The 23233-nt window shown below is 46.7% G+C and overlaps 1 long non-coding RNA gene across 1 annotated transcript, besides 6 other annotated features; it reads left to right on the top strand.

Annotated features, from left to right (window-relative positions):
- Positions 3991–4080: an enhancer, noted in NCBI's record as "active region_451". NCBI's record gives its function as "activates an Ori minimal core promoter by ATAC-STARR-seq in GM12878 lymphoblastoid cells {active_cell/tissue: GM12878}" and the evidence as "EXISTENCE:reporter gene assay evidence [ECO:0000049][PMID:35858748]".
- Positions 4091–4250: an enhancer, noted in NCBI's record as "active region_450". NCBI's record gives its function as "activates an Ori minimal core promoter by ATAC-STARR-seq in GM12878 lymphoblastoid cells {active_cell/tissue: GM12878}" and the evidence as "EXISTENCE:reporter gene assay evidence [ECO:0000049][PMID:35858748]".
- Positions 9822–9901: an enhancer, noted in NCBI's record as "active region_449". NCBI's record gives its function as "activates an Ori minimal core promoter by ATAC-STARR-seq in GM12878 lymphoblastoid cells {active_cell/tissue: GM12878}" and the evidence as "EXISTENCE:reporter gene assay evidence [ECO:0000049][PMID:35858748]".
- Positions 10202–10321: an enhancer, noted in NCBI's record as "active region_448". NCBI's record gives its function as "activates an Ori minimal core promoter by ATAC-STARR-seq in GM12878 lymphoblastoid cells {active_cell/tissue: GM12878}" and the evidence as "EXISTENCE:reporter gene assay evidence [ECO:0000049][PMID:35858748]".
- Positions 11147–11347: a silencer, noted in NCBI's record as "peak125 fragment used in MPRA reporter construct". NCBI's record gives its function as "represses an SCP1 promoter by STARR-seq MPRAs in K562 erythroleukemia cells {active_cell/tissue: K562}" and the evidence as "EXISTENCE:reporter gene assay evidence [ECO:0000049][PMID:32103011]".
- LOC124903880 (uncharacterized) lies at positions 17577–19332 on the top strand. The gene is made up of 3 exons (XR_007065551.1): positions 17577–17682; positions 18070–18120; positions 19232–19332. It is a non-coding gene; the product is annotated as an uncharacterized LOC124903880 (long non-coding RNA).
- Positions 22072–22391: an enhancer, noted in NCBI's record as "active region_447". NCBI's record gives its function as "activates an Ori minimal core promoter by ATAC-STARR-seq in GM12878 lymphoblastoid cells {active_cell/tissue: GM12878}" and the evidence as "EXISTENCE:reporter gene assay evidence [ECO:0000049][PMID:35858748]".

The following is a 23233-nucleotide window of genomic DNA, read 5'->3' as shown; positions in this document are numbered from 1 at the left end:
TTTCTAGATGCTCACTGTTTTTTTATTTTGCGTTTTTGAGATGGAGTCATACTCTGTTGCCCAGGCTGGAGTGCAGTGGCACTTGGCTCACTGCAGCCTCAACCTCTTGGGTTCAAGCGATTCTCCTGCCTCAGCCTCCAAAGTAGCTGGGATTACAGGTGCCTACCACCATGCCCAGCTAATTTTTGTATTTTTTAGTAGAGACGGGGTTTTACCACATTGGCCAGGCTGGTCTCGAACTCCTGACTTCAAGTGATCTGCCTGTCTCAGCCTCCCAAAGTGCTGGGATTACAGGCGTGAGCCACTGCACCCAGCCAATGCCCACTCTTTACTCATAATTGCGAATACCCTTTGAAAACATCATTAAACATGTTGAAATCTTTTAAAATCCTATGTCTAATGATTCCAGTGTTTGAGGTCTTCATGGGTCTAAATCTACTACCTGTTGTTTCTGCTGATTCCTGGTTACCTTGTGTGTTATGGAATTGTGACAGTGGGTTCATCTATCGGAATGTTATCTCTGGGCAATCTTTGAGACTGTGTTGAAGGTGGATTCCTACAGGGGATTTGCATTGACTTCTGCCAGAAGCCTGTGGTCGTTACCAATTTGAGACCACTTTAAATTAATTCTTGGTTTGGTATTTTTGGACCACCCAAGTAGAGTGAATTCAGGCTGTAAATCCTCTTATTGGGATTGGCTTGTAGCTACAAATTCTAAGGGAGAGGTTTCCCCTCTACGATCATTGCCAAGGCTCAGTATAAGCAATTTGCCTTGTAGTCCCTAGGGAGTACAGAGTAGGGTGGTTTCGTTCTAGTTCACCTTGACACCAATGTATAACTTTTTGGGGTCTTGGTTTTCTGCAGAGGGGATTTTCTGTTGCAGTCCTCACCTTGGGTGGGCTCTGGGCTTTGTCTCCGATCTCCACTCCACGTAGCTTAAGGGCATCATTAACATCTCTGAGTTCCAGTCTTCACTTAGTTTTTGGTTCTGAATATGCCTTATGTTTTTGAGAATTAATTGATGCAATTAAAGCTTTTTTTCCCTTCTAGCTGGCATATTTGGTTGTTTCTGGTGGGAGTGTCTAAAGAATATCTAGTACACCATCCTGCTGGAAATAAGACCTCCTTTTCTCCTGCTAGTAATTCTTTAGTGAAAACCTGTAAGATCAGCTTCTGAGTGTTCTTAATTTGTTTTTGGAATCCAAGTAGAGGACACTGTAAGATATGTCAATCACAGCAGTGAATCTTTAATTTGGGCTAGCAAATTCATTCATTCATCAAATTTTATCAAGCCTCTGTTAAAGGCCAGGCTTTTTGTTGGGTCCTGGGGATTCAGGATGGACAAGGCAGACTCAACTCCTATCTGCCCTCCTGAGGCTCACAGTCTAATGACTTGAATTTACAGTACAGTGCTAAGCACTTTACATCCTTGTTTAATTTAATCCTCATTACAGCCCTATGGGTTAGGTACAATCCTTTATAGATTAGGAAGAGAAGGCACAGAAAGACTATGTAAATTACCCACGATCAGACAACTTGCAAGAGGCAGATCAGGAACTCAAACTCACATTGCTCTGCTCTACAGTCTTTGTCCTTAACAGTTATGCTCTTGGTTGTGCCAAGAGAGGGCACTGTTGAGTATGCCAGGAAGAGAGGGTGCTTTCTTTTTTATATGTGTGAAGGAATTTGCCTGTAGAAGCCATTGTTAATTTTCTTAGGATAAATTTCAGTGACATGTCAGGCCAACACACCATCAGAGTGTAGAGCTCCAAGGTACAGGACTGAGGCAGATGACGGCTCATTTTCCAGAAGTCAGTAGCTATTTGCATGACACCATAACAACATTCCTAGATACTTGCCTGTGCTCATGGAAGACAACCAGGAAGGAGGACTCAGTAGCATCCAGAGCAGTACCGTGGGGTCATGGTGCTGTCGTTGCTGCTTACTTCTAGAATATGCAACCTGCAGAGCAAGTGTCAGAAGCCAACCCTGTCCTTGAATATGAGGCTAGCTGGTTTCCTGGATGAAAAATCAGGAGATCTTGGTGGCAAGGTCCTTCCCCTCAGTAGAACTCCGTTTCCTCATATATATAACAAGGACATTGGACTCTATGTTCTCTAAAGGACGCTTCCGCCTCTGACACTCTGTGCTTCTGTGATTTTGTGTGATGCCAAGAGAGGGACCATTTTCTATTCTGTGTCCAGGGAACAGCAGGGAGTAGAAAGTTAGGGAGCAGGAGCCCTAGCTTTTCCTGCCCCCAAGCACTGTCCCAGTTTGGCTACAGTGAAGTGAAATAGTGCCACATGTCCCAATCTTGCAATTCCTGGAATTCCTACAACTCCTTCCCAAACCAGCCTCAATGACATCTCTTCTAGAGGTCCTCCTTGATCCTCCCGTTTTGGGATTCCTAGAACACTTTGGCCAGATTTCTTCCGTAACACCTGTCTTTCCTTTCTTGCTAGACTGTTGAGCTTCTTGAGGGTCAGGTCTGGGTCTCTTGCACCCCCACACCCCCCACAGCATCCAGAGCAATGCCAGGTAAGTGCATGAACGCAAGAAGATCCAGCTTTTTTTTCCCAAACAAGTCTATGGGTAGGCCCAGATTTAAAAATAGGTAGCTCTTCTATATTCTATATATATATATATATATATATATATATATATATATATATATATATTAAACACATTTTATATAGCACAAAAACATAAAATAGTATTTCTATGGATTATAAATGTTCATGGTGGAAATTTAATAAATGTTAAAAAAAATGTAATGATGAAAATAACCATCCCCATGCACCCCCTCTCCCATCCTCTGATCACCCAGGGAATGCCATTGCTAATGTTTTGTTGGATTTCATTCCAGTCTTTTTTCTACATATAACAGTCCTGGCCACTTACTACATATAGAGTTTGCTTCTCTGTGCTTATTACTCAGGAGTTGGGAGCCTTTTCTCATAGCCTTAAATGTTCTTTGAGAACATGATATTTAATGGCTGTCGGGTGTTTCACACCTATTAAGGTCGGAGCTGTGAAGAGCTCAGCTGCCCAGAGGACCTGAGCTCAGTAGTGAGAGGCTTGTGGTGTCCTTGGAGGCTGGAAATAGACCATCTCCATCACCTCTGCTCTCAGAACTCCCACTCTGTTCTCAGGAACTGTGCGGTATCTCCTCTAACCCTCCTAAACGACGACAAGGAAGGCTCTACAGAGACAGAGCCTCTGGAAGGCTCAGAGAGACGAAGTGACTCACTGGAAGTGGCCAGCACACACAGTAGAGGAAGATGCCTATTCCCAAGCCTCCTGCAGTTATTTATTTATTTATTTATTTATTTATTTATTTATTTATTTATTAAGACGGAGTCTTGCTCTGTCGCCAGGCTGGAGTGCAATGACGTGATATTGGCTCACTGCAACCTCCGCCTCCCGGGTTCAAGCAATTCTCCCTGCCTCAGCCTCCTGAGTAGCTGGGATTACAGACATGTGCCACCACGCCCAGCTAATTTTTGTATTTTTAGTAGAGACGGGGTTTCACCATATTGGCCAGGCTGGTCTCGATCTCTTGACCTCAGGTGATCTGCCTGCCTCGGCCTCCAAAAGTGCTGAGATTACAGGCGTGAGCCACCGCGCCCGGCCCTGCAGTTATTTTTCACGTTGTTGTTGGCAGTCGAGGTTGCTGCTGGACACACTGAAAAAGAGAAAATAGTAACGTCTGGAGCAGGACCCTGTGGTTGGGCTGCTGGTGGGAGGCAGCCGGACCTCCTGGGAGGGAGAGTTGGAACCTCGCTCAGTTTGGTGGTGCTTCGGCTTCCCGGACCTCGAACTCCTGGGGCCCGTCCGCCTCCCTGCTCTGGCTTCAGACGCTGGCTGGAATGCTGCTCAGCACATTAGCTGTGAAGTTAACTGGCTCCGGATCACAAGTTCACTGGCTCCGGATCACAAGTTCACTGGCTCCGGATCACAAGTTCACCACTCTCTGTTCAGGGTGGCAAAAGGAACCTCGTCTGGTGGCCAGAGCCAAGGGAGGGAGAGAGTGGGAGGCTGTGGGGCCCCTGAGCAGTAAAGCATCTTCTCTGATGACTCCTCTCCCTTACATAGTCTTCAGTGATTCCTTAGCATGGAGAAGAGGCTGAGTTGGCTAATTATGAAGGGGGAAGGAAAAAAGACAACAAAACCCCCAGCTACCCTGTAACATAAAACGCTGCCTCCTCAAGACCTTTGTCATATTGTTCTCGCTCCAGAAACTTGGGGTTTCTCACCCTTGTGATATCTGTGCCTGGGCGTGCACCATTTGTCACTCTCAAAAACTGGCCCAGGAACACTTGGTGAGGGGTTATTGTGCTGCAGGAACGGCTCTTACATGAATAGGCATTCCTTTCCACCCACATGCTTGAAAACTGGTTATAATTAGAACCATTTCTACCTGTTCTGACACTTACAGCGGGAGTGTTCGTAGGGGTCCTGCCCAGAGCCCTGACCAAGCTGCGGAAGGCAGAGCCAGAAAGTGGGTTCTAATCCCACCCTCGGCCACTGTGGCTATTAGCTATGCTTCACTAAGAGTCCTACGGTTGGAAGTCCTTGGACCGTGAAGGAGAGAGCTGCACCTCCGCCTCGCGCCACCCCTGTCACATCCTGATTCTGTCTCTCGGGCCTTTCTCTCTCCTTCTGCCGGGAAGCCTGGGAGGGAACAGTTCTAGCCTGAATCCACAAGACGTTCGAATTTTGATATATTTTCACATAAAAATGTCAACTTTTTAGTGGAAGGAGCTTTAGAAATAATTTCATTGTGTGGTTTTCAACTCTTGGGGAGACTTAAAAAAAAAAAACCACGTATCTGGGCCCCACCCCAGTCTCCCAACGCAAGTGGTATTTTGAAAGGGCTCTCAGGTGGGTTTTCCTTTTTAATTAAACTTCTAATTTTGAAACAATTGTAAATTCACATGTAGTTGTAAGAAATAATACAGAAAAATCCTTTGTTCTCTTTGCCTCGTTTCTACCAATGGTAACATCTTGCAAAACTATAGTAGGGTATTGGCTGGCCGGTGTGGCTTACTCCCGTAATCCCTGAACTTTGAGAGGCTGAGGTGGGTGAATCCCATATATATATGTATACACACACATATATATATGTATATATATATATATACACACACACACACACATATATATATATATAGAGAGAGACAGATATATATATATATATATAGAGAGAGAGAGAGAGAGAGAGAGAGACAGAGAGAGAGAGCTCACACCTGCAATCCCAGCACTTTGGGAGGCTGAGGTGGGCGGATCACAAGGTCAGGAGATTGAGACCATCCTGGCTAACATGATGAAATCCCATCTCTACTTAAAAAAAAATACAAAAAATTAGCTGGGCGTGGTGGCACACACCTGTAATCCCAGCTACTTGGGAGGCTGAGGCAGGAGAATCACCTGAACCCAGGAGGCAGAGGTTGCAGTGAGCCAATATCGCGCCACTGCACTCCAGCCTTGGGTGACAGAGTGAGACTGTCTCAAAAAAAAAAATCTATCTATCTATCTATCTATCTATCTATCTATCTATCTATCTATCATCTATCATCTATCTATCTACCTCTTGATCGTAGGCATCAGAACAAGGATGCTGCCGTTGATACAGTCAAGATACAGAACAGTCTCATCTCCACAAAGATCCCTCATGCACTGACTTCCCTCTGCCCCCACTCCTCCTTTACTCCTGGCAACCCCTAATCTGTTTTCCATTTCTATGTCTAGTTTTGCCATTTCAAGAAGCTTGTATAAATGGAATTGTGCAGTATCCAACCGTTTGGGATTCAGTTGTTTCATTCAGCATAATTCTCCGAAGATTAATCCAGGTTGTGCGTAGCAAGGGTTCGTTGCTGTCTATGGCTGAGTTGTGCTCTGTGGTGTGGACATACCATAGTTTGTTCACCACTTACCCGTTGAAGGACATCTGGATTGTTTCCAGTTTTTGGCTGTTAGAAATAAAATTGCTATAAACATTCTTTACAGCTTTGTGTGTGGTGAACATGAGTTTTCATTTCTCTAGGACAAAGGCCCAGGATTGCAATTGTCATATGATAGTTGCATGTTTAGTTCTCAAAGAAACTGCCAAACTCCAATGGCTGTTCAATTTTACATTTCCACCAGCAACATCTGAACGATCCAGTTTCTCTGCATCTTCACCAGCATTTAATGTTGTCACTATTTTTTATTTCAGCCATTCTGATAGGTATGTAGTAACATTTCATTGCTTTTTTAATTTTTAAAAAATTGATACATACAATTATACTAATTGATGGTGTACATGTGATTTTTTTGGATACATGCATAGAATGTGTAATGAAAAAAATCAGGGTCATCAGTATATCTATCACCACAAACACGGATTATTTCTTTGTGTTGGGACCATGTGATTTTATTGAAGTTTCATTGGACACCTTTTCATGTGCTGATTTGCCATTTGTATGTCCGCTTTGGTGAAATCCCAGGCAGTGTTAACAGGCAGTGTTGGTCACACACCAGGTCTGGTCTACCCCACTGGACTTAGTTTGCTGCCCAAGCCCTTTCTGTAGCAAGGAGCAGACTCTCTCCTTCTAGACAGTCCTGCTTGTCAGTAGATGCTTCTTGGCCGGGCATGGTGGCTCACACCAGTAATCCCAGCACTTTGGGAGGCTGAGGCAGGCAGATCACTTGAGGTCAGGAGTTCAAGACCAGCCTGGCCAACATGGTGAAACCCTGTCTCTACTAAAAAATACAAAAATTAGCCAGGCATGGTGGCAGGCACTTGTAATCCCAGCTACTCAGGAGGCTGAGGCAGGGAGAATTGCTTGAACCCGGGAGTCAGAGATTGCAGTGAGCCGAGATTGTGCCACTGCACTCCAGCCTGAGTGACAGAGTGAGACTCCACCTCAAAAAAAAAAAAAAGTGCTTCCTGCTGAGCCCTCTGCCCATTAACACAGGTCCTCTTGTTATTTGAAACATCTTTAGTGACTTAAACTGTGCCATGTAATGTATTGGTCACATCCATCAGGTGCACTTGGCTGGTGCCCATATCTCTGGGTCCACAGGCCCATCGGACTGGAACCCAGACCTCTGAGGAGGAGGCACTGGCAGGCTAGTGTGGGGATCTGGGTGAGTGAGGGTGGGGGCAATAAAGCTGTTCTGCAATTGTTGGAAAAACTATAAAGTGGATTCAGCTGCCACTCCCAGAAAGACCTGTGGCTGCCAAGGTGAAGGAGACAGAATTTAATATATTGTTAATTAGGTATGAGGTTGTTTTTTGTTTGTTTGTTTGTTTTGTTTTGAGACGGAGTCTCGCTCTGTTGCTCAGGCTGGAGTGCAGTAGCGGGATCTTGGCTCACTGCAACCTCCGCCTCCCTGGTTCAAGCGATTCTCCTGCCTCAGCCTCCTGAGTAGCTGGGATTACAGGTGCGTGTCACCATGCCCGACTAATTTTTGTATTTTTAGTAGAGACGGGGTTTCATCATGTTGGCCAGGCTGGTCTCGAACTCCTGACCTCGTGATCCGCCCGCCTCGGCCTCTCAAAGTGCTGAGATTACAGGCGTGAGCCACCAGGCCGGGCCTCTGATGTTGTTAATTAAGTAACCAAAAGGGTCAAAATAGAACGCTGAGGTATTATAGAAGTAATAGCCCCTAGAGCTGGGAGAAGAAAAGGAAGAAGTGGGAATTAGAGAAACTCGGCCTTCTGAGGAGAGGGTACTGCGCAGCTGGGGCTGGTATTCCTAATCTCACAGGAGAGGCCCCGTGGTCCCTGGACCCAAACTTTTAAGGAAGACAGGCAATGAAGCTGCTTCTGCAATTGCTGGAAAAACTGTAAGCAGATTCAGCTGCTGCTTAGGAAGGACTTGCTCCTGCCAGGGTGAAGGAGCATTGCGAGGGTGACCCTTTCAGGAACAGGAAGCGAAGGGAGTGAGTCCCTTCCTCCTCCAGCCTTTCCAGCCTCCCATTAGTCCCCTGTAGGCAGAAACAAACTAGCTGGTTAACGGAAACTGGTTTGTGGGGTCCCTGCCCCAGCATCACAGAGTAGACATGGAAGGGCAGGTTTTGAGGTGAGAAGCAAGAGCTCAAGGACCAGCATAACAGCCAGGAGTTCGGGCTCTGCAATCAGACAGGCCTGGGTTGCAATCCTGGCTCTTTCCAGCTCTGTGGTTTGGAGCAGGTCACTTCACCTCCTGGAGGCTCAGTTGTCCCAGAGATGAAATGAGGATAATAATGTTCTCATTTCTGAACTGTTTATGAAACTGAAATGACAGAATGCAGGTAAAGCAGTTGGCACCATGCCTAGTACATAGAGTATTCAATAAATAAAACTTTGTAATGCATATACTCACAATCGATATATAAATGAGTGGTTCTGGGGTATTTTGAACAGGAGCCTGTGACAATGGAAAGGGCAGCAGCTAAGAAGCCAGAGACCTGAGCTGTCATCTCCGCTCTGGTTGCTTGCTGTGTGACCTTGTAAAAATCACTTATCCTCTGTGGACCTTAGGTTCTTCAGGGGTAAAGAGAGAGGTTGGAATACATGGTCTCCAAGGCATCTTTCTAGTAGAACAGACTTGGCCCCTGCCGTCAAGGGGCCATGCACAAGTCACGTTTGTAGCAAACGTTTATTTGTGCAGGGAATGAAAAGTAAACTGGTCAACGACATTTAGTGGATGGAAAACAAGACTCCGTGTACTTAGGATGCACGTGGTCAGGACAGGGTCCACTTGGAGTTCTTGTAGCAAAAGAACAGCCGCAGAGAGAAGTTCAAGATGCTGATGAAAAAAGGAAGCAAGGGAGGAAGAAAGGAGAGATGGATGATAGGAAAGAAAGCACCCCTCTTGGCTTTAGAATGGCAGCAGAGTCCACACCCTCATTTGCTGGGGAAACACTTGGTCTAGCCTAGGGGGTCCCAAACCTGGCTGATAGTTCTTTTTTTTTTTTTTTTTTTTTTTTTTTTTTTTTTTTTTGAGGCGGAGTCTGGCTCTTGCCCAGCCTGGAGTGCAGTGGTGTGATCTCCGCTCACTGCAAGCTCTGCCTCCCGGGTTCACGCCATTCTCCTGCCTCAGCCTCCCGAGTAGCTGGGACTACAGGTGCCCGCCACCGCGCCTGGCTAATTTTTTGTACTTTTAGTAGAGACGGGGTTTCACCTTGTTAACCAGGATGGTCTCAATCTCCTGACCTCGTGATCCGCCCGCCTCGGCCTCCCAAAGTGCTGGGATTACAGGCGTGAGCCACCGTGCCCAGCCCCTGGCTGATTGTTCTAATCACCTGGACAGGTTGTAAGAATATTAATTCTTGGGCTCCATCTCAGAGACTTAAAATCATTAGATCTAGGAGTGGGACCACAGAATCTGTCTCTTTAACAAACAGCCCCCTGGAGGCTGTTTCACAGACCAGTTTTGGGGAACCTCAACTTGATTTTGTAAGAGGTGTTATCCCCCGTCATTACAAGTGATGTCCTTCCCTGGCACATTGTCATAGCCACTTAACATGAATAAGAATAGGTAATGTTCATTAAGCACTTACTATATGCCAGGAATTGTTCTAAGCATGTATACATACACACAATCTATACTCATCTATATTGATGAGTGTGTGTGTGTGTGTGTATGTACACACACCTTCCAATAACCCCGTGAAACAGGTGCTATTAACATCCCTGTTTTTACAGATGAGGCAATCGAGCAATTTAAAGGTTAGGTAAGGGTAGAGCTGCTTGTAGCTGGGCGTCGGGGTGCATACAGAGTCAAGATCATAGCACACGTGCCAGCACAGCGCTCTGGGAACATGAAGTCACAAGTGTGGAATCAGGAGAGGCTGCGTGGAGAAGGCAATCTTGGCTAGTTCTGCTTGTCCCTGGATAGGAGGACACACCACCTGTGATGACAGTCTGCCTGCCGGGCTTCCTTCCCTGTCCCTGTGACTTCTGCTTTGTGGACACGAGGCATGTGGCAGCCAGGGCCAGACGGCACCTTTGGACCCAGTGGACCAAGCCCCCTTCGGGCCGGCGGTCACTTCCTCCTGCCCTCTGTCCATGGGGAGTTCCACATTCCTGTGGGGCTCCAGCTCTATGACAGGGTATGAGATAAGTGTCACTCAGACCCCATCTGGGCTTAAGATGCGAGAAGAGGAAATGGGCTGAGTTTGCCGCAGGCATGGTTTAGAGTTACACACCAGGGGGTTTCTGAGGTGGTTTTAGGGGAGAGGCACCAGGGGAGACTCTTGATCTGGGCTCTGGGATCAGCCAGGCCTGCAGTCAAGTCCAGACTTGTGATCTTGAGCAAGTTATTCAGCCTTTCTGATCTTCACTTCCCCACCATGAGAAAGGGATAATGATAGCAGCTGCCTGCCCGTGGGGTGGTGTGTGCTTAACTGAGATGGGGAGTGTAGGCACTTGGAACAGCGCACAGCACATGAGATGCACTTAATAAATGTCTGTTTTATTACTATTTAAAGATCTTGGTCAGGCACGGTGGCTCATGCCTGTAATCCCAACACTCTGGGAGGCTGAGGTGGGACGATCGCTTGAGCCCAGGAGTTCAAGACTAGCCTGGGCAACATAGTGAGACCTCGTTTCTGCAAAAAAATTTAAAAATTAGCTTGGCATGGGTGGATGGCTCTGGTCCTAGCTTCTCAGGAGGCTGAGGTGGGAGGATCGCTTAAGTCCAGGCAGTTGAAGCTGAGGCTGCAGTGAGCTGTGATCACACCATTCGGCGGACAGAGCTAGATCTGGGCTGGGTAATGGAGCTAGATCCTGTCTCAAAACAAACAAACAAACAAACAAAAAAAACAAAAAAAACAAAAAAAGATATTTAAGGGCACATTAGATACCCACTGCTCATTACTTTCTGCCTCAAAAATGGAAGCAGTGGACCACACTATGGGAAATTGGCATTCATCTCTTCTTTTTGACATGCTCTGGGCTGGGGTGGGACACAAGGAGCTCTCCAGGCACTGGCAGCAGGAGCCTGTGCCTTTTTGCGGAAGGGGGTGGCAAATGGTTTCCCAGGATTAAGCCTAGGCGTGCAGGAAGGGTAGGAGTTAGCAAGAGGACCGGGAGTGAGAGGTGACTGAGGGAATGATGTTCCAGGCAAAGGGAACTGCACTTGCAAAGGAGGGAAAGTGTGACGCATTCTAAGAACGGAAAGCAGTACTATGTGTTGGCCTTAGAGGAGAGGGAGGCTGGAGGGGAGGAGATGAAGCTGGAGAGATGGCCTTTGCAGGGCTTTAAGGCCTCTTCCTTCTCCTGTAGTTGGTGAACCTTCAGGGGAGGAAGACACCAGCAGCTTGGCTGAAAATCGGAGGGGCCCAGGCCAAAGCTCTCCCCTGGTTGCCTGGGGACGAGTAGCTTCTGCTCCATCATCAGTCCTTGGGGTCTAAACAAGTCCCGACCTGTGTTGCGCTTCCTTTGTGTGTGCATAAGGAATTCTGGTCTTTACCACTATTTTCCCTGGACAACATTTCTGTTTCAATGATCCTTGGCACCCTTCGCTCTGCCCATTCCCTATTATTTAATTTAAAACCATTCATCTAATTAGCATCTGTCGGGAATAGTTCTGGTGTGGTTTTGCCTGGAAGGACTGGGCTGCATTGGGCGACATGTTGGATTTTTTTTCCAGCTTCAAGACTCCACCATAGGGTTCCCACATTTATTTTGACCCAAGAATGTTCCGAGGCAGAGATCAGAGGCTAGAAATTTGGGAGCCTCTGTTGTCTCTGGGGCTGGTGGCTTTTGGCAGCAGTGCTTAGTCCTTTGCGTTGATCATCAGCTATTTCTCCATCCACAAAGGGGCTGGCGCTGAGGGTCTACCTAACTTAGGGAGCATTGAGCGGGACCGTGGATTTGGGACGGGTTTGGTGTTTAATGTTCCAGCTCCCTTCCTCAGTCTCTGAGGTTCCTGTTCTTCTACCTCCACTCCTGTCCAATCTTTTTTTTTTTTTTTTCCTAATGTTCCTTTGTGTTTTGTGTCAATAAGGAGCTATGGCAGGAATCCATGGAGATCTCCCTCTTCATCTGGATCCTTTGTGGTGTCCCCTTGTCACTTTATCTTATTCGATCTTGATCTTTTCTGAGCCTTTGTTTTGTTAGGGGCCTTTGTTCCTAAATTCACCCTAAAGGCTGAACTCCGCAGCATCATTGAATAAAAAGGGCTCAGAAGGTAGAATCAGAGAGATATATTTGCCTCTGGGACTCCTCATGTACTTGTGTGTCTCTTGGGAAACCACTTTCCCTCTGAGCCTCAGTTTTCTCATCTGTAAAATGGAAGATAATGATGATGATGATGATGATTGATGATGATGATGATGATGGTTAATAATAATGCTTAACATTCATTGTAGTCAATCTCTACCAGGCACTGAGATAAGACATTTACATATCAATCTCAGTAAACCCTTAGAGTAAACCTGCTGGCATTATCATTCCCATTTTACAGATACAGAAACTGAGGCTTAGAGAGTATATGACTTGTCCAAAGTCATAGAGTAGCAGAGCCAAGACCGGAACCCAAGCCTATGTGATGCCAAGCTCACATGAAATCTGCCCTAGGGTTGTTGCAAGGATTAAGGGGTCACAAGTGATCAAATGTGCTTTGGCAACCTCACAGTTAAAGGTAATGGAAGGGATTCAGAAGGCTTTGGAAAATGCCTTCTGAGTCTTGAGTCTCTGGTTTTGCAGTATGTGTGTCTCACAGTAGAGTGCAGTGTGGATAGACAGTAATTAAGGGTTTGGATGAGAGACCAGAAGAAGGAAGCAGAGTAGTCTGAAAGGCTGCACCCTGTGGTTGTTCTGCTGCAAGCTGTTGGGTTTGCTAGCCTTTGACATCATCTGGAATGTCACAGCAGGAGTATTCTTTGCAAACTAGTGCAAGGGTTGGATTTATTCCATGTCAGGGTTAGACTAATGATCATTGGTGAAAACATCTTCAGAAATTGGATATTTGGATCTGTTCTTTTTAGGGTCTCATATTCAAGGGGATGTAGGAACAAGAGTCACTGGAAAAACACTGTTGTTGGTAGCTCATTACACCCCAAGCTGTGGAGTCCCTGCCTGGGTCAGGAAGGGAAGTGGGTGTGACTTGGAGAGAAGCTGTATTGAGCACAAAGGACCCTTGAGACTAAGTCATTTTTCTGACATGATTCTTTTCAAGAACATCGTGTCCCCTTCTTCTTATGATCTGCCACTGCACAGAGCCTTGTCCAGGCCACACTCTCTGGGACCAGCCCAGGGGGTTGGAGCTGCCTCTGACTCCACAGCTCCTTCCTCTGCAGGAAGAGGGTGGGGTGGGGGGCACATGTGGAATCTTCTCAGAAGATCTGTTGGGTGGGAAATAGTTGCTCAGGAGGCAAGAACACCCCTGCAGTAATCTGCTTACTCAGAGGGAACAAGAAGCCACATGGGTGGATGAAGGATGAGGACAAGAGTAGGGACTCTGGCATGTGTGACCTTGGTTGGGGCTCAGGCTCCTCATCTATACAGAGGGAATGATGGGCCCTGGTCCTTGAGCTTCCAGTGGCCCACCGGGATCTCCTAAGGGACAACAGATCAGATCTCCGATGAAGACCCTGGTCCAGGCTGGCTTTTGTGAAGATCCATTTTGGGGCTCCATTTACTATAGACAGCACGCAATAAAATTGAACTGCTGGCTTCGAATCCCCATAGCACCAATAATGTGTAGAGGTCAGGGAGAGTGAGAAGCCACAGGGAGCCAGGGACATGGTCAGGTGGTGGCCTGGGGGTCAATATGGAGAATAGGGGTTGTAGGGGCCAGAAAAGGGATAGCAGCCATGGGGCAGGCGTGGGGCAGGTATGGGGCTGGGGTATTTGGCAAAGGATTTTTAAATTTTTTTTGAGACGGAATCCCCCTCTGTCACCCAGGCTGGAGTGCAGTGGTGCAATCTTGGCTCACTGCACCTCTGCCTCCCAAGTTCAAGTGATTCTCCTGCCTCAGCCTCCCAAGTAGCTGGGACTACAGGCATCCGCCACCATGCCTGGCTAATTTTTGTATTTTTAGTAGAGATGGGGTTTCACCATGTGGCCAGGCTGGTCTTGAACTCCTGACCTCAAGTGATCCACCCGTCTTGGCCTCCCAAAGTGCTGGGATTACAGGCATGAGCCATCACACCCGGCCTTTTTTTTTTTTTTTTTTTTTTAATAGGAGGTGAGACTTGAACTACGTCAAAAAGGATGGGCAGATGTCAGAATCCCAAAAACCACATTTCTTTTAGGACTTTCAGGGCAAATATTACCTGCTGTTTATGTCCTCAATAAAGGGCACAAAAATGTGATCACTGAACCAGAGGTGTCTGGAAGCAGGCCAGTATGAGACAGGAGTCCCCAGGGACTCTGTAGGGACGGTTCTCCCAGACTCCAGGGCAACAAAGACAATCAGCCGCCAAACAGACCCTGCAGCATTTTGCCGGCTCATGGGTCCTTGAATCCCCGTTTGTAACGGGGGCCGGCGGAGTTGGGGGGGGGGTCCTTCAATCCCCTTCTGTAACACGGGGAGTCCTTGAATCCCCTTCTATAACAGTAGAGAATGCTGTTTTGTCCAGTGGCTCCCTTTGGGGCACTTAACTTCCCTGGGCCTTGGTTTGGTCATCTGTAAAGTGAATAGATCACAATGGGATGTTGGTAGGGTCCCTTCCAATTGTAACATCAGGGCTAAGGCACTGCAGCAGGGTCCCCAATCACCCCAGGCTAGTGGGGCCCAAACCTGGCTGCATCTCAGAATTACCCTGGGGAGCTTAAAAAAGCACAGATTCTAGTACCCCTCTGCTGACCTGAAGAATCAGAATCTCCGGGGGTGGGGCACTGGTATCTGTAGCTAGGAGAGGCTGATGCAGGCCAGGAGGTCTGTATTTGAACATCTCTTTTTCTGGGTCATTCAGTCCATGCGAAAATGTTGACCTGGACTTTCTAAAGTTCCCCACCAGCCTCCATGTCCTGGTATAGCTTTCTGATGTGGGCCATGGCTGAGATGTTGGAGGAAACCTACGCAGCCTGTCCCCCTCATGTATGTGGAGCTCCTACCACTTGCACCTCAGCAGCTCCAGCCCACAGGGCAGCAGATCCCCCGGACCCTCCCCCAGCTCTTCTCCAAAGCAGGAACCACTTAGCATCGACAGCTGTCCTTTGTCCCAATGGACAGAGACCAGGACATGCATAAATGCAATTGTAAAAGCAATTTTTCTCAGACAGGAACATATAAGACAATTCCTCAGCATTCAAATTATTATAATGAGCTGAGTTCCACTTCAAAGGGAACTAATTTAATAAGAGGAATTGCTGGGGCTCTAAGGAATTCTAATTAGATTTCTTTCCACACCCGCCTTGCGTATTTTTCTGAAGAGCAGCCAGGGCCGCTAGATTGTGTTGTGTTTGGGTCCAGTGTGAAGAAACTGGGAAGCCAAGCCTAGCCAGGGAAGGCCATCCATCTGCCTTGAGCCTGACAGCACAGTGGGAGTGGGGCCTGGCCACCACGAAAGTCAACAGGATTCAGGGCAATGGGGATGGGGAGGGGGCTTGGGGTTGCAGAGGGTTTCCTGTGCTAGTCTGGGGACATGGTGGGTGGGGTGGGCTAGGAGAGGGAGGTCTGGAGCCAAACTGCCTGTGTTTGAATCCCAGCCCTTCCCTTTCCTAGCTGTGTACCTGGCATTACCTCTCCGCACCCCCTCAGTTTCTTAATCTGTGAAATGGGGCTAAGGATAGAACCCACTCCATTAGGGACTTGGGAACATTATGTGTGCTAGGGCACATAAAGTGGCTAGAATAACACCTGGCACAGAGAACTATTGTTATTACTCTCTAAAACAAGGAAATCAAAAGATGGGAAGGGCTTCCCAAAGTCAGGACTGATTTAATTTTGCAGGAACCCCTTGGACTCAGAAGTCAGGTTGGAGGAAATACCTGGGAAAGGATCCATCTCTTCTATGGTGACAAGGCCAAAGAGACCTCAGCTCCAATCCTGGCCTTGTCACTTATTAGCTGTGTGACGTTGGACAAATTGCTTTACCTCTCTGAGCTTCTGTGTCTTCATCTATAAAGGAATGATAATAAACTCAAACAAACGAAATGTTGCATGGGGCCTGGCTCATAGTGGAGCCTTAATAAATGTTGTTTTCAAAATCAGTCATTCTATAAAACAAATATTTCCATGTATTTACACCTCTGGAGTTTCACGCGTCTTACGATTAGTGGTGTCTTATAGTTGCCTGGGCAAACATGAAAAGCTTTCGTATCAACACTTGCAGAATGGGAGGGAGTGGCTTGGTAGAAAATCCGAGGGGAAATTAGTAACAAAATGGTTGTGGGAGGGATGTGGGAAAATGGTGACTCTGACATGTTTAGCAGCGTTGCCCAACACAGGAGTCAAAAGTGAGCCAATGGATCGCTTAAGCCCCGGAGTTCAAGACCAGCCTGCCTGGGCAACTTGGCAAGATCCCATCTCTATTATTTAAAAAAAAAAAAAAGATAAAACAAAAAACTCCCCACAAACAAACAAAAAATTACCCCCCAAACCAACAAAACACAAAAGTGAGCCAGCGCCACACAATGACAAAGCTGGGGTAAGAACCCAGTACTCCTCGCTTTTTCTTCTTTCATGGAATCATTTGGAAAATGCCACATCACCAGTGCTCTTGAAGGTAAGAGGACAATATTGTGTGGGAAAACAGGAACTCCAATGACTCTAAGTTGAAAGGAATTCAGAAGAGCCTGGCTTTGAATGTGAAGCGGTTTTAGGGAGATGGTAACAAATTTAGGTGCCTTATTTCATTTTATGTATGTGCAAGCGGGATAGATGAAAATCCGCGTGTAAGTTGAAAAAGCTTTCTCTAAGCATGTAATCAAAATTCTAAGTGATGAGAAAGCATGGAGTCATAGTTTATTTTGCAGTGTTTTCCATTCTGAGTGGTGCATACATTCATGGTGTGTTTTATGATCAATGTTGTCTTAGATCTGATGACTTACTTTTGATCCTATTTTTCATCTTCTCACACAAACCTGTCTACATTGGGACCAAGAGGATGTTGGCCCTGCCTGTTCTGAGCATGTCCTGAGCCTGGCACTGCACCCTACATTTTACGTGGTATTTCACTTATTCCTCCTGTCTTAGTCCATTTGGATTGCTATAAAGGAATACCTGAGACTGGGTAATTTGCCAAGAAAAGAGGTTTATTTGGCTCACAATTCTGCAGGCTGTACAAGAAGCATGGCACCAATGTTTGCTTCTGGTGAGGACCTCAGAAGCTTCTAATCATGGCAGAAGGGGAAGGGGAGATAGAGTGTCCCATAATGAGTGAGGAAGGGAGCAAAAGAGAAAGGGGAGGAAGGTGCCAGGTTATTTTTAACAATCAGTTTTCCTGTGAACTAGTAGAGCAAAAATTCACTCATTTCTGCAGGATGGCATGAAGCCGTTCATGAAGGATCCATCCCCATGACCCAAACCCTTCCCACTAGGCCCCATCTCCAACATGGGGGATCAAATTTCAACATGAGATGTGGAGGGCAAACATCCAAACTATATCACCTCTCAATGAGCCCATAAAGAATTTTCCTCTTCATTTTGCAGATGAACTGGGGGCTCACATAGGAAATGACTAGCCTAAGATGGCAGAGCAAGAACTGGATCCTGGATTGGAATGCATTGAGCATGTGGCTCTATCCTGAGGGTGGAGGTAAGAGGTATGGCCTTCCTCCAGAAGTTTCCCTTCTGCTTTGTGCAGTGCTACCACCCAAGAATCCTCTGTGGCCTGTGCAAGACCTCTCGGATTCAGGGTCAAGAAACATCACCAAGACCCAAAGTCTGGAGTCATCATTTATCAGGCAATACATAATTACCATTTACTGGGTGCTCAGGAAACAGGTCAGTGACAGAAGCAGTATTGAATTAGGTGCCAAGAGATATGGGTTCTAATTCCAGTGACATCATTCACTAGCTGTGTGGCCTTGGCCAAGTCACTTAACTTCCCTGGGCTTTGGTTTGGTCATCTGTAAAGTGAATAGATCACAATGGGATGTTGGTAGGGTCTCTTCCAATTGTAACAAATCTGTCTTTTATGCAGGTCTAGGGGGCCGGGAGAACTTGACAATGGATTTAGTCCACCTGGAATCAGGTAGGAGCTCTGGAAGCCTCTGATGGACACAGGGAAGCAACTGGCCTTTAAATGTAGGGTCAATGCAGGATGAATGGAGAACACAAACACGCACTTCTTGCACCCTGGGACACCAGGATCTAGAGCCTCCTAAAGATCTACTGCTGTCCTGAGAGGGATGTTGGGCCCCCCGGTGATGCTTGTACAGAAAAAGTTCCGTGGGCAGCCCGGGCCTAGGAACATTTTTGATAAAACAGCACTTGAACCACATTCTTTTTGTTTCACCTCATGCCAATCCTGTGCAGGATTAGAGGTGCATTAGGGCTGGAAGGGGTTCAAGGGGCTCCTATCTGCTCTCATTGGTTTGTGGAGGAGGAAGCAGTTATGTAACTGCTGCAGCTGTGTCTTTCTTCACTTCCCTAGTCAACTGTAGAGTTTTGGGGAGATGGGACCTGCTTGCTTCCCCAGGAGCCCTCACTGGGCTGAACAAAGAGGCGAAGAGGTCTTGGCTGCTACAGGTAGCCTTGCCATGCCTGAGACAACTGGAACCATTAATACACACAGTTATTGGGGCTCCCAAAGTGCCAGGCGCTGGGCTAGGTGCAAATGCATTTTCTCTGTCCACATTGTGGCCATGCAATGACAGCTCTGGTTACTTGACGTGAGTCCTTGGCAAGCATCATTTCATTTGATGCACAGGTGGCACATATGGCAGATGGGCTGAGCCTAGGGCTTGTGCCCTTAGAGGACATGGGTTCACATCTTGGCTTCGCTTCTTTCTGGTAACCTTCTGAAGTACTTAACCTATTTAAGCCTCAGATTTCTCATCTGTAAAGTGGAGATAATCACAGTGTCCTAGGGTATTAAAAAGGTTAACTAGCACATGTGATGTGCTTTGCACAGCTTCTGGCATATGTAGCAGGTGTTCAATCAATACTAGTAATTTTCTGTGTTGAAAATAACCTGCCTGCCATCTGAAAAGTTAGGCATTACATCTCCATTGCAGAGATGAGAGAACAGAGCCCCAGAGAGGTAAAATGACTTGTCTAAGGTCACACAGTGAGTAGGTGTCTAGGCTAGGATTCAAAGCCAGGACTGCCTGACACCCATTGCCTGTTACCCTTTACTCAAGTGTTCTGCTGCCTCCTCGGGGACCAGAGCTGCTCTCCTCCTCATGTGTCCAGTCCTGGTGGGACAGCCTTCTACGGCGCTGTCCCCAGAGATCTCAGACAGGTAATGGGAGACAGTGTTGCTGAATGGTTAGGGTGTGGGATCTGGAGTCCACCTTCCAGCCTTACGCTCCCTGGCTGTGTGACTTTGGGCAAGTGACTTGACCTCTCTGGGTCTCTGTTTCCATATAGGTAAAAGGAGGATGATAATGATAATACTGAAGATTGAATGAATGAATGAAGAAATGTCAAGTGTTTGGTGTCAGGCCTCCCTGTGTGTCAAGAACTCAGAGCTGGATTTCCTCAAGTGTAACATTGTTGTTAGGGTTACCGTGATCACTGTGGGGCAGCCATCCCCTGTCTCCCCTCCGGGTACACCAGAGCCAGAGAGCAGCCCAGCAGGGCCTTCAGGGGCACCAGGATTTTCAGACAGTGGCATAGCTGTCATCCTCCATTTCCCTGACCAGGGCAGGGGTCCAGTGGGGCTGGCCAGCAGCCCCTGCTGTCACGATCTGATTGGAGTTTCATTAGTAGGAAAGGCTGGATCCTGGCACCTGCACACCTCCAGGAGGGAGTGGGGCTCCCAATGCCCATCTGGGGACATTGCATTAAAGGGTTCCTTTCCACAGGCTCAATCTTCAGATGCCTCAGCCCTCCCCGAGCCCTGACCACAAGCCAAATGGCGCTGGACCACAGTATCAGGGTTCTCCAGCGACTCCATCCTCCAGGGAGGAAGAGGTGGTGAATTTCCGAGCTGGGACAGAACCCAGAGTGGCTGGAGCAGGCCAGCACCTCGCCTCATATACTTGGAGCCTGGAGACATCAGGCAGCAAATGAGAAGCATTTTAAGGTTCTCTGACTATTTTCTTTTTTAATTAATTAATTAGTTCATTAATTTTTTAATTTAAAAATTTTTCTTACCTCTGGTTCAAGTTCTCATGACCGATTCCTTAAGGTTGCAACACATGAACATGCCTTTCCTCCAAGAAAATTTAGAGAATTCAGATTAGTAAAAAGAAGAAAATAAAAGTCTTCCATAAACTTATAATCTGAGGATAATGTCTTTTAATGCTTTTTCCTTCCTGTCTTTTTTCTATGAGCAGATATACATACAGGCTTTAAAAATATACCTTGAAAATAGAAGCATTCTCTATGTGAAGTGCTTAGCATATTACCTAGCACATAGTGAGTACTCAGTAAACCTTTACTGTTACTATTATTATTTCTATTTTATAGCCTGATTTTTCTCTCTTAAATGGAATTTCAGCTCCATGAGAATTAGAACCTTGTAAGCCTCATTAACCTCTGTTAGTCTAGCGCTTAGCACATAATAGGTGCTCAATAAACATTTTTAAATAGATGAAAGAATAAACATTTTTCTTTCTCATTAGATTTGCATCTGTAATATTTAATGACAACATAATAATGCATTGCTGAATTTGTTTTTAAACTTGGCTGGTAATTGTTTGAAAAAACCACTCCCAACCTCCTAACTCTCCACGTCAGTCAATCCCCTCATCCCAAGCCTCATCCCCACCTTAACGAGATGGAGGCTGTTGGGTTCTCCAGAGCTTTGGGGACCCAGCATCGCTTCAGAGAAGCCAGAAACCAGCCTGTGGGCTGCCAGCGCCCTCTTTGGCTCACAGAAACCACTAATCATCGACTTAAACCGTCTAGGTAGCGCACAGACGAGTAAAACCCCAACTCCTGCATTTTTGATGAAATTGACATTAGACAAACGCTCACAGCTTACTTGGTCAGACCCGGCAGCGAGGGGCTGAATCAATAATGAAACACTGGGAGGAATAAAGCATTAAACAGGGCGTTCTGCAAGGCAAGCAGCTTGGGGGTCAAGTCAGGGGACCCAGGATGGCCCGTGGCCAATAGTCCCTTCTGCCTAGCTGCCAGGCAGGGAGATGGCTGGGCATGCAGCTTGTCCTCCATTCCTACAAGTCTGGTAGGCAGTGTGACTTCTTGGGAAAACCTCTAGGCCTAGGCTAGAAGCCCAGAAACATGGAAATAGTATTAACTTTGTGGCCTTAGGTTATTTTTTGCCTGTCTGTCTCAATCAGGAAAATAGATCCTTGAACCAGGACACCACGGTTCTTCCCAGCTGAGAGATTCAGTGCATTCGGCTTGAACTTGGGAATACATATGGTCCAGACATAAAGTCTGTTAAATGTCGCAAATGAATAGGACCCAGGAAATCTACCACAGTTCCTTTCTTTATGCTGGAGAGAACAACCTCCTTCTGCCTGTTCTGAGGTTCTTGGCCTTGGGGTCATTGAGAAAATACTTCATTAGGTCTCTGTTCCATCCAGAGGATGCTTGAAGATAATTCCCTTAGAGAAAAGGACTCCAAGCTCCGGATTTCACCTTTCACCTTAGGTCACATCTCTGGGTGCTATAAGACCCTCAAGTTTGGAACAGATATCTGTCCAGTCCCCAAAGACAAGAGGCTGGAAATAGGGAGGAAAGAGGACCCGATGGGAAGGAGTAAACTATGGATTCAGCTGCCAGGTGGGAGTCTCTGCATTTGCTCTAAGACAGCTTACCTTTGCCTGCTCATTTGCATTCTAGAACTTCAGTACTCAAAGCCTGGTCTGTGGACCAGTGACATTGGCCATGTCTGGGAATCTGTTAGAAGTGCAGCATCTCAGCACCCGCCCCCACATCTACTGAAGCAGGATCTGCAATTTCACATTCAAGCTGGGGGAGCTCTGCTCCAGAGAGTCCCACCCACTGGGGACGGGGTGGAAGTAGTTGCTGTGCCCAGGGCTGTTGCAGAGAGTGGTGTTACAGTTTTGCATCATTCAGCTCATTCAGGAGTCTCCGGCCTCACAGTGATGGTTTCACTTCATGGGAGGGGACACTTTTGAAATGCCTTTTCTCTGAGATGGTTTATTTATGCTTATTTTTGAAACCAGATTGAGTCAAGGGACATACAGAGTTTCTATCTGTTAGTTTAATGGCATTTCAGAGGACTTCCCCACTCTTACGGTTGTGAGAGTAAAAATAATACGTTAAACAATTACTCAGAGCCTGCTAAGGGCCAGATCTGGGCTTGGGGAGGGGATCGCAGGCTGGGATATGATACAATCTCAGGAATCCCATGAGGACACAAACCATAGCCAGGCAAATCCCCACACAAGGCCTCTAACTACAGAAAGGGACTCCTTAGACACTGGATTTACCTTTCTTACTCTAATGAACAGAAGATCTTAATCATAGAGGAATTGCCTAGAGAATTTATTCAAAATGTATTTGCCAGCCAGGCATGGTGGCTCATGCCTTGTAATCCTAGCACTTTGGGAGGCTGAGGCGGGTGGATCACTTGAGGTCAAGAGTTCGAAACCAGCCTGGCCAACATGGTGAAACCCTGTCTCTACTAAAAATACAAAAAAATTAGCCAGGCGTGGTGGCAGGTGTCTGTAATCCCAGCTATTTGGGAGGCTGAGGCAGAATTGCTTGAACCCAGGAGGCAGAGGTTGCAGTGAGCCGAGATCTCGCCACTGCACTCCAACCTGGGCAACAGAGCAAGGCTCCGTCTAAAAAAAAACCAAATGTATTTGCCTAGGTCATCTCCCAGAGCATCTGATTCAGTAAAACTAAATGAGAAAGAGCTTCCATGGTGATTTTGATTCTCAACTTTGACCCACTAAGAATTACTGCTTTCTATTTATTTCTGATTTGTAATTAAATTAAATTAATTAATTAATTTTTTTTTTGAGATGGAGTCTCGCTCTGTCGCCAGGCTGGAGTGCAATGGTGTGATCTCGGCTCACTGCAACCTCTGTCTCCTTCCTGGGTTCAAGCGATTCTCCTGCCTCAGCCTCCCAAGTAGCTGGAATTATAGGCATGTGCCACCATGCCTGGCTAATTTTGTATTTTTAGTAGAGAATGGGTTTCACCATGTTGTTCAGGCTGGTCTTGAACTCCCGACCTCAGGTGATCCGCCCGCCTCA

This window comes from Homo sapiens, chromosome 1, assembly GCF_000001405.40.
Source record: "Homo sapiens chromosome 1, GRCh38.p14 Primary Assembly".
In the NCBI taxonomy this organism is placed as follows: domain Eukaryota; kingdom Metazoa; phylum Chordata; class Mammalia; order Primates; family Hominidae; genus Homo; species Homo sapiens.
The sequence above is the reverse complement of the archived record's forward strand: the minus strand, read 5'-3'. Positions and strand labels throughout refer to the sequence as shown.